Source organism: Homo sapiens, chromosome 18 (assembly GCF_000001405.40).
Source record: "Homo sapiens chromosome 18, GRCh38.p14 Primary Assembly".
Lineage (NCBI taxonomy): Eukaryota > Metazoa > Chordata > Mammalia > Primates > Hominidae > Homo > Homo sapiens.
The window spans coordinates 46,736,799-46,755,357 of NC_000018.10; the positions used below are offsets into that span (position 1 = coordinate 46,736,799).

Below are 18,559 nucleotides of genomic sequence, written 5' to 3' on the forward strand. Positions count from 1 at the left end.
GACACCCCCCGCTGACCCAGTGTGGCATTAAACCCCCAGAACCCCCACAGTGTGGCATCCCATACACATATCCTGGCTTACCTGCCTTATTTCCATTCCCTCCACCCACACAGTCCAGGGGCTCTGCAGGACCTGTGGGCCCCCTGGAAGGAGCCAGCAAAGCCCAGCCTGAGCTGTTCTCCTGAGGGACCAGTCCCTTGTGCCCCACGTCACCAGAGCTGGAAGAGAGGAAGCCACCTTGCCCACCCACTCACACTGCATGAGGCTAAACAGAGACCAGACAGGCCGTCAGTCAGCTTCACAGAGCTATGGTGTCTAAAAAGAAACTTTCAAATCTTTGATAGCTTCCATCACCTGCTCCTCCTGCCTCAACACCTCAGCCTGTCCCCCAGATATCCCCAAATCCAGTCTCTGAGACCCACCAGTTCTTCAAAGCCTCTGTCAGGTCCCACCAGGGTACTCCCACCCCGCCCCATTGCTGTCTCCTCTGAAACCTACAAGATTTATAGTCTATGCCACAAAATTGCGAGTTTATTTATACACTGTCTTACATAATTTTTCATGTTTGTCTCTTTAAGTGTTCTGTAAGTTTCTTAAGGACATGAATCATACCAAATAATTCTTTAGTAGCATCCCCTCTCCCCCAGCGCAAAGCTGAGAGGGCGTTTAACGAATGTTTCTTGATTGTTAGGATAAAGTTTCAGGATTCCCTTCGTATGAATCCATCCATTCAACAATTAGTGTCAGGCACTGTGCTAGGACCTGAGAACTTAGAGATGAATAAAGCATCTCTTACAAGGGTCTTACCAGCTGTGTGACTTTACACATGTTACTTCCCCTCTCTGCAAGAATATGAAATGAGGAAGACTATGTATTTAATAGGACTATGGAGAGGATTAAATGAAATAATCTTCATTTAGGATTAGCTTCTTAGGTTAGAACCTGCCTCATGATCCCTTAGTGAATGTTAATAATTAATTTTTTTTTTTTGAGACAGAGTCTCACTGTGTCGCCCAGGCTGGAGTGCAGTGGTGCAATCTTGGCTCACTGCAACCTCTACCTCCCAGGTTCAAGCGATTCTCCTGCCTCAGCCTCCTGAGGAGCTGGAATTACAGGCATGCACCACCACGCCCGAATAATTTTTGTATTTTTAGTAGAGATAGGATTTCACCACGTTGGCCAGGCTGGTCTCAAACTCCTGACCTCAGGTAATCTGCCCACCTCGGCCTCTCAAAATGCTGGGATTACAGACATGAGACAACACTCCTGGCCAATAGTTAATATTATTACCTCATGAATCCTTCACCTGTGGGGAGGAGGGGTGTCCCTAGGGTAATAGGTAGGGTTAAGAGCTAAATTAGAGAATTATTAGATAAGAAGTGAATGACCTGGATACATCAAAAAGAAGAAATTAAATTCTCTAAGAGGTAAATCCCTGGAAAATAGAAATGTCAAAAAAAAAAAAAAGGTGGGTGGGGCAAGGAAGAAGAGACGGAATCCGGGAGTAAGAGGGTATCACTGTGCTCCTGAGAGATATCTGAGGAAGGTACAGGAAACTCACATCCAACACCTGGTGCAGGGCTGGGCATATGGCAGGTCAGAGCCAGGATTAGAGGAAGGCCAGCAAGGCACCCAGCACACAACATTTAAAGAGGTCCTCATTCTCAGGCTCATGTAAGTACAAAGTTAACGCCTGAGAGTAGAGGCCACCTTAAATTTTGTTCCCTGGATCACTTGCTGGCCTCACCTCATCTCAGTTTTGCAGCAAGTGCTCAGGAGAAACTTGCTCTGACCAGCGAAACTGTAAAGTCACTCTGCTGACCCACCACACACCCAGGCTGCAGTCAGAGCAGCATCCCTTCTTTCCAGGGCACCCTCCCCCTCGAGAACCACACTCTGGATAGATCCTCCAGTCCCTGTGGTCCCAATCTCCTGGGGCTGTGCCTGTTTCTCGGGGCAGTCGAACAGAAGGCTTTGTCCCCTGGGTCGGGGGAGAGTTGGCTCAGTGATGAGGGCCTTCGAATATACACATGTAGGCAGCACAAAGTCAGGCTGTACTTTTCCTTGACCCAGTTTCGCATCCTCAAGTCTCAGGCCTGCACTAGCCACATGCAGGCAGCCCAGCTTTTTGCCCTGAAGGTGCAGGAGAGAGGAAGGCTGGAGGGAAGACAAAGCATAGGAGGGTCCTCTGTACTTGAGGCAGGACAAAACTCCTGGTCTCATTTCCTGTCCACTGCACAATCACATAGAAAAGCAATGGGACAGTGCTGAGCAGGATGTGCTAAGTAGAGACACCATGGTGCTGTGAATTCAGAGGAGAGAAAGAACACCGTGGGCTGAGACCAGAAAGAGAAGCAGGATTTGGACTGAAAGACAGCTGGGAGGGGACAGCGGGTCGGAGGCAGCGTGGGTGAAGGCCCAGAGTTAGGACAGATGTGACATGCGTAAAAGACCCTTCACTGGCCGGGTGTGGTGGCTCATGCCTGTAATCCCAGCACTTTGGGAGGCTGAGGCGGGTGGATCACCTGAGGTCAGAAGTTCAAGACCAGCCTGGCCAACATAGCGAAACCCCGACTCTACTAAAAATACAAAAATTAAATTGGCATGAGCCTGTAATCCCAGCTACTCAGGAAGCTAAGGCAGGAGAATTGCTTGAACCCGGGAGGCGGAGGTTGCAGTGAGCTGAGATAGCGCCACTGCACTCCAGCATGGGTAACAGAGCGAGACTCCACCTCGAAAAAAATAGATCCTTGGCTGACAGGGGAGAAACATTCAACTTCCAGAGTGGGCTTCAGCACAGACTGACAATTAGGCATGAGATTTTTGTTTGGGGAACAGAGACATTCAAAGATTTCTATTTCCAACAAAGTGGCCAACTGAGAAGCCCTCTGGGGCAGGTGCTGTGACATACCCCACCACATCACCTTCGGGAATGAAGGACTTCTCCCCACCTGTTGGGGGTGCCATGAGCCGACAGCCCTCAGCTCTCATTCCTCTTTGAGAATTGCCACAGGTGAGCAGAGCCACCTTGCTCAAGGTTATGTCCTCTTCCAGGGCATATACCTCTTCCAGGTATAAAGGTCAGGCCCCCTCACCCCAACTCTGGGCAAGTATGAAGAGACAGCCCAGCTCCAGGGCTGCCTATGGGGTCCACTGAGGCTTTCTCTGGAACTGTATTGCAGCTCAATTTCTCCCTATGGCCAGTCATATTTCCTTCTCTCTTTCTCAGATATTGATCCCAAGAACACTTCTCAATAAACATCCTACACTCTAATCTCTGACTCAGAGTCTACTTTCCAGGGAATCCAATCTGCAACATCCTCCCAATAAAAAACACTAAAATAACAATTAAAATGTCTTTTAATTGCCTTATTAAATTGATGAATAGTCTGGCAAGAAAAGAAGTAGTAGATGCATTCGTCAGCCAATCTCGGTGATTCATGCTTCCCTTGTAATGGCCAAAGGGCCCTCCCAAGGAGGGTCACACTGGGAACCTCCTCCTAAAGCCAAGAAAGCACAAATAATGCAAAAGAGAAGAAGGGAGAAAAGGCAAGGTATGTGAAACACACAAAATATGATGGCAGAAATAAATCCTTAGTCATCAGTAATCACAATAAATGTAAATATACTAAACTTTCTAAGTAGAAGACAGAGATTGTCAGACTAGGTATTAAAAACTGTAAGTATGTGCTAGTTACAACAGACATAGAATGAAAGACATGCAAATTTAAAAAAAAAGATTCAATATCATAAATATCATGTTCTCTCACCACAATACCTTTGAGTTAAAAAAATCAAAAAGATAAGGAAAAACTTGAAGCCTCTGGACATTTTAAAGCACTTCTAACTTCATGAGTGAGTAAATTATGATAGAAATTAGAAAATAATTGGAATTCAAGATATTGAAAATACATCTGGTATTTACTAGCTGTATGACCTTGAACAAATTACTTAACCTCACTGTGGCTCAGTTTCCTCATCTATAAAATAGCCCCTGGTAACAGTATCTATTACTTGTGTTATATGGATTCAGTATGTTAACACATAAAGCACATGGACTAGTAACTGGCACATCGTAAATGCAATGTCGTTCTGAGTTCTTGTTATCATCATCATCCCCAAATTGAAGAGATTTAATTAAAGAAATATTTAGAGGAAATTTTATAACTTCAAAAGTTTACATTAGAAAATAGAAAGACTGTTAACTGAAGAGCTAAGCACCCAACTTAGGAAGTTAGAAAAATGACAGAATAAAATCAAAGCATAAAAATTAATAAAATAGAAAGCAAATATCCAAGAGAAAATCAACAATGCCAAAATCTGATCATTTTACAGAGACAATGTAAAAAACAGAAAAAGAAACAAGTAAATAATGTTAAGAATTAAAAAGGGGCAAACCGATGGATATGACAGAGATGAAATACAGCATATTATAAATTTTGCCAATAAACTTGATTTCTTTTAATTTCTAGAAAAATATAATTTACCAAAATTGATTGAAGAAATAGAAAACTTAAATACTCTTACAATTACTAAAGAAATGGATCAGTAACTTGATTAATAAGTCTTAATTAGTAAGACTTAATGGATTAGTAAAGTTTTCCCATATGGAAAACATTAGGTGCAGATGGTTGTAGAGGTGAGGTCTACCAAACATTTAAAGAATAGATGAATCTCAAAAACGTGCATAAGTCATTACAGAGAATAAAGTTTTAACATTCTCAACTCATTTGCAAGACTGATTTTAAAACCAGGCAAAGATAGCATGATAAGAGAAAATTACATCCAATAGCATTCAAGAAACAGAACAGATCATCCTGAATAAAAATAATAGCAAACAAAATCTCACATCATATAAAACAAATAATATACCATAAACAAGCTGGGTTTACCCCTAAAATTATAAGTTGAACATCTATTAAAGTAATTGACCACATCAAAAGGTTAAAGGGGAAAAACTACACACCATTCAATAGATGTAGAAAAAGTACTTATAAAATTAATATCTAAATACAATTTTTGGCTGGATGCAGTGGCTCACACCTGTAATCCCAGCACTTTGGGAGGCTAAGGAGGATGGATCACCTGAGGTCAGGGGTTCCAGACCAGCCTGAGCAACATCGTGAAATCCCCTCTCTACTAAAAATACAAAAATTAGCTGGGCATGGTGGCGCATGCCTGTAATCCCAGCTTCTCGGGAGGCTGAGGCATGAGAATCACTTGAACCCAGGAGGTGGAGGTTGCAGTGAGCCGAGATCAAGCCACTGCATCCAGCCTGGGTGCCAGAGCGACGCTCCATGTAAAAAATAAATAAATAAATAAATATAATTTTCAAAATAAGAAAAAACAAAACTTTTAACACATTCTACAAATGTGTGGAACTTTACCTATTAGAAAATATCTTAAAAAAATAAGCAAACATATTCAATGATGACACTTTTTTAACATTCCCTTTACAATTAGGATTAATCATACCATATACAAAAATTAACTCAAAATGGGTCAAAGATCTCAATGTCAGAGCTAAAACTGTATAATACTTAGAAAAATGTTTAAGTGTAAATTTTTGTGATGTTGGATTAGGCAATGGTTCCTTAGATATGACACCTAAAGCACAAGCAATCAACAACAAAAAAAAAATAGCAGAATTGGACTTCATAAAAATGTAAAACTTTTGTGCTTCAAAGGAACACCAAAAAAGTGAAAAGACATGTTTTGCAAATCACGTACCTGATAAGCGACTTATACTTGAAATATATAAAGAACTCTTACAACTCAAGAAGAAAAAGTAAAATAATCCACTTTAAAAATAGGCAAAGGGACCTCTGTGGGCAGGGCATAGCTGAACAAAAGGCAGCAGAAACTTCTGCAGACTTAAACGTCCCTGTCTGACAGCTCTGAAGAGAGCAGTGGTTCTCCCAGCATGGTCTTTGATCTCTGAGAACAGACAGACTGCCTCCTCAAGGGGGTCCCTGACCCCCGTATAGCCTAACTGGGAGACACCTCCCAGTAGGGACTGACAGACACCTCATACAGGCGGATGCCCCTCTGGGACGAAACTTTCAAAGAAAGGATCAGGCAGCAATATTTGCTGTTCTGCAGCCTCCGCTGGTGATACCCAGGCAAACAGGGTCTGGAGTGGACCTCCAGGAAACTCCAATAGACCTGCAGGTGAGGGACCTGTTAGAAGGAAAACTAACAAACAGAAAGAAATAGCATCAACATCAACAAAAAGGACATCTACACCAAAACGCCATTTGTAGGTCACCAACAAACCAAAAGTAGATAAAACCACAAAGATGGGGAGAAGCCAGAGCAGAAAAGCTGAAAATTCTAAAAACCAGGGTGCCTCTTCCCCTCCAAAGGATCACAGCTCCTCGCCAGCAATGGAACAAAGCTGGACAGAGAATGACTTTGATGAGTTGACAGAAGAAGGCTTCAGAAGGTTGGTAATAACAAACTTCTCCGAGCTAAAGGAACATGTTCTAACCCATCACAAGGAAGTTAAAAACCTTGAAAAAAGGTTACAGGAATGGCTAAACTAGAATAAACAGTGTAGAGAAGACCTTAAATGACCTGATGGAGCTGAAAACTATGGTACAAGAACTTCGTGATGCATGCACAAGCTTCAATAGCCGATTCGATCAAGTGGAAGAAAAGGTATCAGTGATTGAAGATCAAATTAATGAAATAAAGCAAGAAGACAAGTTTAGAGAAAAAAGAGTAAAAAGAAGTGAACAAAGCCTCCAAGAAATATGGGACTATGTGAAAAGACCAAATCTACATTCGATTGGTGTACCTGAAAGTGAGGGGGAGAATGGAACCAAGATGGGAAACAGTCTTCAGGATATTATCCAGGAGAACTTCCCCAACCTAGCAAGGCAGGCCAAACTTCAAATTCAGGAAATACAGAGAACACCAAAAAGATACTCCTTGAGAAGAGCAACCCCAAGACACATAATTGTCAGATTCACCAAAGTTGAAATGAAGGAAAAAAGGTTAAGGGCAGCCAGAGAGAAAGGTCGGGTTACCCACAAAGGGAAGCCCATCAACTAACAGCGGATCTCTCAGCAGAAACCCTACAAGCCAGAAGAGAGTGGGGGCCAATATTCAACATTCTTAAAGAAAAGAATTTTCAACCCAGAATTTCATATCCAGCCAAACTAAGCTTCATAACTGAAGGAGAAATAAAATCTTTTACAGACAAGCAAATGCTGAGAGACTTTGTCACCAGCAGGCCTGCCTTACAAGAGCTCCTGAAGGAAGCATTGAACATGGAAAGGAACAACCGGTACCAGCCACTGCAAAAACATGCCAAATTGTAAAAACCATCGATGCTATGAAGAAACTGCATCAATTAACGGGCAAAATAACCACCTAACATCATAATGACGGGATCAAATTCACACATAACAATATTAACCTTAAGTGTAAATGGACTAAATGCTCCAATTAAAAGATATAGACTGGCAATTTGGATAAAGAGTCAAGACCCATCAGTGTGCTGTATTCAGGAGACCCATCTCATGTGCAGAGACATACATAGGCTCAAAATAAAGGGATGGAGGAAGATCTACCAAGCAAATGGAAAGCAAAATAAAGCAGGGGTTGCAATCCTAGGCTCTGATAAAACAGACTTTAAGCCAACAAAGATCAAAAGAGACAACGAAGGTCATTTCATAATGGTAAAGGGATCAATTCAACGAGAAGAGCTAACTATCCTAAATAGATATGCACCCAATACAAGAGCACCCAGATTCATAAAGCAAGTCCTTAGATACCTACAAAGAGACTTAGACTCCCACACAATAATAATGGGAGATTTTCACACCCCACTGTCAATATTAGACAGATCAACAAGACAGAAGTTTAACAAGGATATCCAGGACTTGAACTCAGCTCTGCACCAAGAAGACCTAACAGACATCTACAGAACTCTCCACCCTAAATCAACAGAATATACATTCTTCTCAGCACCACATCGCACTTATTCTAAAATTGACCACATAGTTGGAAGTAAAGCACTCCTCAGCAAATGTAAAAGAACAGAAATCACAACAAACTGTCTCTCAGACCACAGTGCAATCAAATTAGAACTCAGGATTAAGAAACTCACTCAAAACTGCACAACTACATGGAAACTGAACAACCTGCTCCTGAATGACTACTGGGTAAATAACGAAATGAAAGCAGAAATAAAGATGTTCTTTGAAACCAATGAGAACAAAGACACAACATACCAGAATCTCTGGGACACATTTAAAGCAGTGTATAGAGGGAAATTTATAGCACTAAATGCCCACAAGAGAAAGCAGGAAAGATCTAAAATTGACACCCTAACATCACAATTCAAAGAACTAGAGAAGCAAGAGCAAATACATTCAAAAGCTAGCAGAAGGCAAGAAATAACTAAGATCAAAGCAGAACTGAAGGAGATAGAGACACAAAAAACCCTTCAAAAAATCAACAAATCCAGGAGCTGGTTTTTTGAAACGATCAACAAAATTGATAGACCGCTAGCAAAACCAATAAAGAAAAAAAAGAGAGAAGAATCAAATAGATGCAATAAAAAATGATAAAGGGGATATCACCACCAATCCCACAGAAATACAAACTATCATCAGAGAATACTATAAACACCTCTACGCAAATAAACTAGAAAACCTAGTAGAAATGAATAAATTCCTGGACGCATACACCCTCCCAAGACTAAACCAGGAAGAAGTTGAATCTCTGAATAGACCAATAACAGGTTCTGATATTGAGGCAATAATTAATAGCCTACCAACCAAAAAAAGTCCAGGACCAAACGGATTCACAGCCAAATTCTACCAGAGGTACAAAGAGGAGCTGGTACCATTCCTTCTGAAACTATTCCAATCAATAGAAAAAGAGGGACTCCTCCTTAACTCATTTTATGAGGCCAGAATCATCCTGATACTAAAGCCTGGCAGAGACACAACCAAAAAGAGAATTTTAGACCAATATCCCTGATAAACATCGATGCAAAAGTCCTCAATAAAATACTGGCAAATCGAATCCAGCAGCACATCAAAAAGCTTATCCACCACGATCAAGTGGGCTTCATCCCTGGGATGCAAGGCTGGTTCAACATATGCAAATCAATAAACGTAATCCATCACATAAACAGAACCAACGACAAAAAACACATGATTATCTCAATGGATGCAGAAAAGTCCTTCAACAAAATTCAACAGCTCTTCATGCTAAAAACTCTCAATAAACTAGGTGTTGAAGGAACGTATCTCAAAATAATAAGAGCTATTTATGACAAACCCACAGCCAGTATCATACTGAATGGGCAAAAACTGGGAGCATTCCCTTTGAAAACTCACACAAGAAAATGATGTCCTCTCTCACCACTCCTATTCAACATAGTGTTGGAAGTTCTGGCCAGGGCATTCAGGCAAGAGAAAGAAATAAAGGGTATTCAATTAGGAAAAGAGGAAATCAAATTGTCCCGGTTTGCAGATGACATGATCGTATATTTAGAAAACCCCATTATCTCAGCCCAAAATCTCCTTAAGCTGATAAGCAACTTCAGCAAAGTCTCAGGATACAAAATCAATCTGCAAAAATCACAAGCATTCCTATACACAAATAACAGACAAACAGAGAGCCAAATCATGAGTGAACTCCCATCCACAATTGCTACAAAGAGAATAAAATACCTAGGAATCCAACTTACAAGGGATGTGAAGGACCTCTTCAAGGAGAACTACAAACCACTGCTCAGTGAAATAAAAGAGGACACAAACAAAATGGAAGAACATTCTATGCTCATGGATAGGAAGAATCAATATCATGAAAATGGCCATACTGCCCAAGGTAATTTACAGATTCAATGCCATCCCCATCAAGCTACCAATGACTTTCGTCACAGAATTGGAAAAAACTACTTTAAAGTCCATATGGAACCAAAAAAGAGCCCACATTGCCAAGACAATCCTAAGCAAAAAAAAACAAAGCTGGAGACACCACGCTACCTGACTTCAAACTATATTACAAGGCTACAGTAACCAAAACAGCATAGTACTGGTATCAAAACAGATATATAAACCAATGTAACAGAACAGAGGCCTCAGAAATAACACCACACATCTACAACCATCTGATCTTTGACAAACCTGACAAAAACAAGAAATCGGGAAAGGATTCCCTGTTTAATAAATGGTGCTGGGAAAACTGGCTAGCCATATGTAGAAAACTGAAACTGGATCCCTTCCTTACACATTATATAAAAATTAATTCAAGACGGATTAAAGACTTAAATGTTAGACCTAAAACCATAAAACCCCTAGAAGAAAACCTAGGCAATACCATTCAGGACATAGGCCTGGGCAAGGACTTCATGACTAAAACACCAAAAGCAATGGCAACAAAAGCCAAAATAGACAAATGGTATCTAATTAAACTAAAGAGCTTCTGCATGGCAAAATAAACTACCATCAGAGTGAACAAGCAACCTACAGAATGGGAGAAAATTTTTGCCATCTACCCATCTGACAAAGGGTTAATATCCAGAATCTACAAAGAATTTAAACAAATTTACAAGAAAAAAACAAACAACCCCACCTAAAAGTGGGCAAAGGATATGAACAGACACTTCTTAAAAGAAGACATTTATGCAGCCAACAGAAACATGAAAAAATGCTCATCATCACTGGTCATCAGAGAAATCCAGATCAAAACCACAATGAGATACCATCTCACACCAGTTAGAACGGTGATCATTAAAAAGTCAGGAAACAACAGATGCTGGAGAGGATGTAGAGAAATAGGAACACTTTTACACTGTTGGTGGGAGTGTAAATTAGTTCAATGATTGTGGAAGACAGTGTGGTGGTTCCTCAAGGATCCAGAACTAGAAATACCATTTGACCCAGCCATCCCATTACTGGGTATATACCCAAAGGATTATAAATCATGCTACTATAAAGACTCATGCACACATATGTTTGTTGCGGCACTATTCACAGTACCAAAGACTTGGAACCAACCCAAATGTCCATCAATGATAGACTGGATTAAGAAATTGTGGCACATATATACCATGGAATACTATGTAGCCATAAAAAAGGATGAGTTCATGTCCTTTGCAGGGACGTGGATGAAGCTGGAAACCATCATTCTAAGCAAACTATCACAAGGACAGAAAACCAAACACTGCATGTTCTCACTCATAGGTGGGAACTGAACAATGAGAACACTTGGACACAGGGTGGGGAACATCACACACCGGGGCCTGTCAGGGGGTGGAGGGCTGGGGGAGGGATAGCATTAGGAGAAATATCTAATGTAAATAATGAATTGATGGGTGCAGCAAACCAACATGGCACATGTATACATATGTAACAAACCTGCACGTTGTGCACATGTACCCTAGAACTCAAAAGTATAATTCATAAATAAATAAATTAATTAATTTAAAAAAATAGGCAAAGGGGCTGGGCGTGGTGGCTGGCTGGGCGTGGTGGCTCATTCCTGTAATCCCAGCACTTTGGGAGGCTGGGAAGGGTGGATCACCTGAGATTAGGAGTTCGAGACTAGTCTGGCCAACATGGTGAAACCCTGTCTCTAATAAAAATACAAAAATTAGCCAGGCATGATGGTATATACCTGTAATCCCAGCTACTCAGGAGGCTGAGGTGGGAGAATCACTTGAAACCGGGAGGCAGAGGTTGCACTGAGCTGAGATCGCACCATTGCACTCCAGCCTGGGCAAAACTTCCTCTCAAAAAAAAAAAAAAAAAAAAGGCAAAGAATCTAAATAGATATTTCTCCAAAGAAGATATGCAAATAGCTAACAAGCACATTAAAAGATGCTCCACATCATTAGTCATCAGAGAAATGCAAAATCAAAACCACAGTGAGATGTCACCTCAAAACCACTGAGATGGCTATAATCCAAAAAAAAAGATAATAAAAGTGTTATCAAGGATGTAGACAAATTGGAACCCTCATACAATGCTGGAGAAAATGTAAAATGATACAGCCACCTTGGAGAACCCTGGCAGTTCATCAAATGGCAAACACAGAGTTACCATATAACCAGTTCTACTCACAGGTATAAACCCAAGAGAAATGAAAATCTATATCCACACAAAAACTTAACATAACAGTGAAAAACAACTCAAATGTCTATGAGTTGAAGAACAGAGAAACAGAATGCAGTCTATCCATACAATGAAATATTATTCTGCAATAAGAATAAATGAAGTACTGATACATGATATGACATGGATGAACCTTGAAAACATTCTGCTTAGTGAAAGATGTCAATCACATAGGACAACATAGCATATGATTCCATTTATATGAAATGCTCAAAACGGGAAAATCTAGGGAGACAGAAAACAGGTTAGTGCGTTTGCTCATTCCTAGGACTAGGAGGGATAGGGGTCTGGGAAGCGATGGCTAAGGGGTACAGGATTTCTTTTGCAGAGTAATGAAAATGTCCTAAAATTGACTGTGGTGGTAGATGTGCAACTGTATGAATATATTAAAAGCCATTTAACTCTACACTTTAAGTGGGTGAATTTTATTTCAATAAAGCTGTCAAAAAAAGAAAGAAGAAAACGATGAGGACTAAAATGAGGATGTTCACTCCGACACTTTTATTGAATATTATGTCAAAGGTCCTAGCCACTACAGTAAAACAAGAACCATATATTAAGGTATAATGGTAGTAATGAAAGAAAGAAAAATGTCTACATAGAAATCCCCAGATAATCTTCAGATAAACTATTATCAGTATGTGCATAATCAAGGTTGCTGATTATAAAATTAATACACAAAAAACAAATTTATTTCTATATGCCAGCTACGAATGGTTAGAAAATATAACTTTTTAAAAGATAATTTGTACGATAATAAACATTTTACATAGTTTTTAAATAGTTAAAAACTATATAGCTAGACATGAATTGTTACGGACTAAATAATTGTTTGTGTCCCCCCAAAATTCCTATGTTGAAATCGAATCCCAAGGCAATGGTATTTAGAGGTGGAGGCTTGGGGGGATGATTAGGTCAGAGAGTGGAGCAGTCACAAATGGGATTGGTGCCCACATAAGACGAGGCCAGAGACTTAGCTACCTCTCTTTCATCCCCACATGAGGAAACAAGAAGTCTACAACCTGCAGGAGGGCCCTCACCAGAACCCAACCATGCTATCACCTTGATCTTGAACTTTCAGCCTCTTGAGCAGGAGAAACAAACATTTGTTGCTTAAGCTACCAAATCTATGGTAATTTGTTATAGCAGCCCAAACAAACTAAGATGTAAATCTAACAGAAAACATTCAAACTCTTTATGGAGAATTATAAAACTCCATTGAAAGACACGGGAAGACATTCAAGGCCCAAGGTTATTTGGTTTTCCTGAGATTAAGTTTAAAAGATAGACTCAGACCAGATTATTAAAATCTACCATGTCTTTTTTCCTACCTTTAAATAAACATTGCCCTTTCCCTGTCCCTCTGTTAAAGTGTAAACACCTGAAGTTGTAATACTCTAGGGCTGTGAGCTTATATGAAGATTTCAGCACTAACAAAGGGGATTGGGGTCAGTGGGGGACTTAAAAGAAGACGGAACAATTTCCATGCCCCTCATTGTGGAAAATCTTTCTTTTAATGCTTTTTCTTCTCAGCATTGACACCTAGAAAGGGTAACCTGCGCTCCCTGTCTCCACATTGTCTTTCCCCACTCACTCCCTGCCCACTGAAATAGGATCCTGTCCCCACTTCTCTCTCCCAAACTGTCTTTGCCTCTACTGCCAACCCAGCAGACACCTCAATCCTATCCCACCCGAGCCCTCTTCCTGGCATGCCACAGTTGGCCACTCTCACTCTGACGCCCTCGTCCCTTGGTTTCCTTAACACCTCCCTCTCCTCATTCCCCTCCACCTCTCTCCAGCCTCGGCTTCCAGAGCCAGCTCTCCTCTCTCGACCCCTTATAGGTGCAGACATCCTTCAAGGCTCTCCTTTGTGCCCAGACCCATCATCATTTTCCACTCTGCTCTGTCCTTGGTGACTCATCCAATCCCATTGCTCACATCAGTGGTTTTCTAACTGAGGGTTTCAACCCAACGGATTGTAAAATTTAATGGGTTGCTCTCAGATTTTTTTAATAAAAACTCTTTTTATTGTGGCAAAATACACAATAACATAAAATTTACCATTTTAACCATTTTTAAGTCTACAGTTGAATGTCATTAAGTTCATTCACATTGCTGTGCTACCATCACCACCATCCATCTCCAATACTTTCTCATCTTTCCAAACTGAAACTCCATACCCATTAAAAGATGACTCCCCATCCCACACCCAGCCCCCAGGAACCACCATTCTACTTTCTGTCTTTATGAATTTGACAACTCTAGGTCTCTCATATCATTGGAATCATAGAGTATTTGTCCTCTTGTGCCTGGCTGATTTCACTTAACACAAGGTCTCCAAGGTTCATCCATGTTGTAGCACATTTCAGAACTTCCTTTCTTTTTAAGGCCAATATTCCATTGTATTTTTTAAGGAAGTAGAATGGATTTATTTATTTATTTATTTATTTAATTTTTAAATTTTATTTATTTATTTTTTGAGACAGAGTCTCGCTCTGTCACCCAGGCTGGAGTGCAATGGTGCGATCTTGGCTCACTGCAACCTCCACCTCCCAGTTTCAAGCAATTCTTGTGCCTCAGCCTCCTGAGTAGCTGGGATTACAGGTGTGTGCCACCACACCTGGCTAATTTTTGTATTTTTAGTAGAGACAGGGTTTCACCATGTTGGTCAAGCTGGTCTCGAACCCCTGACCTCATGATCCACCAGCCTAGGCCTCCCAAAGTGCTGGGATTACAGGTATGAGCCACCGCACATGGCAAATGGATTTTTTAAATGAAGTAAAATAGAAAACATTAGAGTACATTTCTCGTAATAAGGCCAAGTATTGCTTCACAAAATGTTTCAGTTGAGTGTGTACATAACTGTGTTCAAGGTCTCCGGCTATAACATATGCCATACTGTGCTTCCCAATCATAAAAGTTTGAAAAACACTGATGTCAGTGGTTGGTGACTCCAAATCTACATTACTAGTCTGGCTCTTCCCAACGCAGTTCTGGGTAGCTCCACGCACGAGGATCCAGACCCACAGCTGTCACCCTCCCCGCTCCCTCCCAGACACGCCATCCTCACAGGGTCCCTACTTTCTTCTCAGGAATTGGGCCCTGCCTGCCTCACTCTGTCCCCAGCAATATAGCTCTAACCCCTGAGTCATGCAGATTCACTCAACTCTTGCCTGCACTTGTCAATCCTTGCTCAAACTCGGTTTCATCCCCCTTCCTTTCACTTCTGCCTATGCCTGTGGATCATTCCCCTTTCTTGAAGACCCCTTCAAATGCCTCCATGTACCTTGAAACACAGTGATTTTCTCTGGCGCCTCCTCCTTGTTTTTAGAGTCCCTCGTCCATTCCTCTAGGCGTGCCTTTCTGTCTTCCCAATAGCCACCGGCTCCCTGGAGACCCTGGACTGTGCCTGCCTTGCACACCATTGTATCCCTAGCACTTAAAGAGTAAATCTGCATGAAGTATTTGTTCAATCAATCAAAACAGACATGGAGAAGCCAAGAGCATCAAGGAGTACGTTCACAACTTTGTTTCTTGTCTTTTTCTCCTCATTCACATAGCACATGCTTTCTCCATTAGAGACACTGAGCCCACTAAGCCACCTGCACTGCCCCACCTTCTCCCCTCCTGACCAAGGGAGGTGCTGCAAATGGACCCCCAGAGTTCTGACTGCTCTCAATGGGGTCCTCCCAAAAGCTCTGGTTGCAGAGCACAGGGAGAGCCCAGGGTCCAAAGAAGTAAGCACACATCGACTCACAGCCCCACTGCCATTTGCTCTGGGCTGTCGCTAAATTCTCCCTGGAAGAGCCTGCCTTTGCTGTGTCCCTGAAATCTTTGTGAGGTGGCATCGCACCAGCTCAGCACAGAAGCAAAGAATGGCAGCCTTCAGGAATCCCCTGGCTCTGAAGTGGACCTGCTCCCTGCAACAAGTTCTTCTCACTTTCACTGGGCTGTGACAGTACCTCCCAGCCTCTCTACCTCTTTAACCCTTCCTGTAGGAGACCCAGCTAACATCCTTCTTAGGGGCTTTTATCCTGCCATTACCCTACTCCAGGGCCAAACACAGCTCCCAATGGCCCAATGAACCAAATGCAAATTGTTCTTCTCAATCTTCAAAACACTTTGCTGAGGCTAGTGACCCACTGTTACATCTGCCCTCTTCGTCCCTTCCTTCCACCTCACAGCAGTTGTATCCATTTCTTCATTGTGTCTCTTCCTGTTACAATCCCTGCGCGCACACACATAGTCCTACCTTCAATTATTTATTCATTATCCAATATTTATTGAGAACATCTTATGTGCTGGACACCAAGTTTGGTGTTCACAGTGCAGCTGGGAACAAAACAGAGCAAATTGGTTGGGCGCAGTGGCTCATGCCTGTAATCCCAGCACTTTGGAAGGCCGAGGCGGGCGGATCACAAGGTCAGGAGATCAAGACCATCCTGGCTAACAGGCTGAAAACCCGTCTCTACTAAAAATACAAAAAATTAGCTGGGTGTGGTGGCAGGCCACTGTAGTCCCAGCTACTTGCCAAGGCTGAGGCAGGAGAATGGCCTGAACCCGGGAGGCAGAGTTTGCAGTGAGCTGAGATCGCGCCACGGCACTCCAGCCTGGGTGACACAGTGAGACTCCATCTCAGAAAAAAAAAAAAAAGAAAGAAAAAGAAAAAAGAGCAAATCCCCACTGCATGGAGCTTTCGGTCTAGAGCAGTTTCTCAACCTCAGCACTACTGACATTTGGGGCTGGAAAATTATTTGTTGCTGGGGGCAAACTATGCATTATAGGTCTTTACAACCTCTTTGGCCTCTTCCCTCTGCATGCAGCAGCACTCTCCTCTCCCCAGTGTGAATGCCACAGAAGTCTCCAAACATTGCCACGGGGAATAGGGGATTGAGAACCACTGGTCTAGAGCAGCAGGAGGAGCTTGTTGCAGCTTGCAGATCGCCTGGGGAGCTTGTTACAAAGGCAGGTTAGTAGATCTCACCCGAAGACAGTCAGATTCAGGGGCTCAGGAGTCTGCATTTCAATGGTCCTCCAGTTGGTTCTGATTCAGGCCCTCCCAGAGCCTCTGCTTGAAGAACACTGGTCAAGTGTTTGTAGACAGGAGACAGACTGATGATAATCACATCAGGCCAGTTCATTACAATCATGATATATGGAGGAAACAAGATAGGTAAGCAGGTGCTAGGGGTGACACTGATGTGACAGCCACATCCAGTTCAAGATCAGGACTAACCAATGATTAAGCCAAGTGCTGCAGTGTAGGTAGGGTCAGGTGTGGGAGAGACGGGAGGAAATTGTGACACACTTGCATCTCTGCACCTTTGCTCCTGCCCACTTTTTGGATGTGCATGCCCCCTGCCCCCACCCTCAAATCTTACCCTTCCTTCAAGGCCCACTCAAGTTCAACTTCCTCTGGGCACAGTCTTGCCTAACTTCTCCAGCCTATCAGTGCTTCTCTTCTCAGACAGTTTAACATTCACTTTCTGTTTCATTTGTGGCTATTTTGTTGCCCCAAATAGACTTCGAGTCCTCTGAGTACCAAGACCACATCATCTCCTTCTTTACAGACCCTTATCTACAGGCACGCTTCCAGGATCAGCCCTATACAAGTTTTGCCTGGTTGATTGGGTTGAGTCTCTAGAGTGAGGCCTGCAAGATAGCATCTATGCGATTCAGGGGGTCAGGGTCTCTGTGAGGGAGGAAGGGAAGCACCTTGTGTGCCTGCTGAACTCCTGGCAGCTAGCCCACCCACCCAAGACCAGGGAGGACTTGCCAGAGCAAGCAGGTAGTTTGGTTGGCGTTTGCCATGGGCGGTTGTATTTTCCCCCTGTTGACAAGGCAGAAGGAATCCCAGCAGCCCCAGCAACTTTGGGGAGGTGCCGGGAGGGGGCAGGAACCCAGAGCTGCCCTGCTGAAGAGCAAGTGCCAAGACAGCAGCAGGCAATCGGCCTGCAGGGCCGCAGCAAGCTGTGGGGGACCCAGCTGTCCTTGCATAGGATCATCTCAGGGGCAGCAGTAGCCAAAACAAGAGGCAGGCCCAATCAGATCCAAGAAGCCAGGAGACTCCGAAGATGGCCTTTAAAGCCACCAGTGTCAGACAGCACTCAGGAGCTGCCACCAACCAGGGAACGCTCCCTGGGAAGGTCCGGAGCAGCAACTGGCTGTAAACAAATGTTCAGAACAAGGTGCCTCATTACTCCCCAGCTCCGGGGGAGTTACAAGGAGGGGAAACAGCCTAAGTGCTCGGCTTTTCCACTGGACAGCGACACCTAGCAGCGATCCTCACCCTCCCACCTTCGTGGGCAGCCCAGATTGGGAGCACCCATACCTGATGTATCCACCTCACCCAAAGGATGAGAAGAGGGCTGTTTCGTTATGGGGAAGTTTAGAGAAGAAGGTGGGATGCTTACTTAGCTAGA

At 42.7% G+C, this 18,559-nt stretch overlaps 1 protein-coding gene across 3 annotated transcripts in view; it reads right to left on the reverse strand.

Moving 5' to 3' along the window:
- The window catches only part of ST8SIA5 (ST8 alpha-N-acetyl-neuraminide alpha-2,8-sialyltransferase 5), an 89,233-nt gene that overhangs the window by 68,978 nt on the left and 1,696 nt on the right, over window positions 1-18,559 (reverse strand). The window lies entirely within an intron of this gene.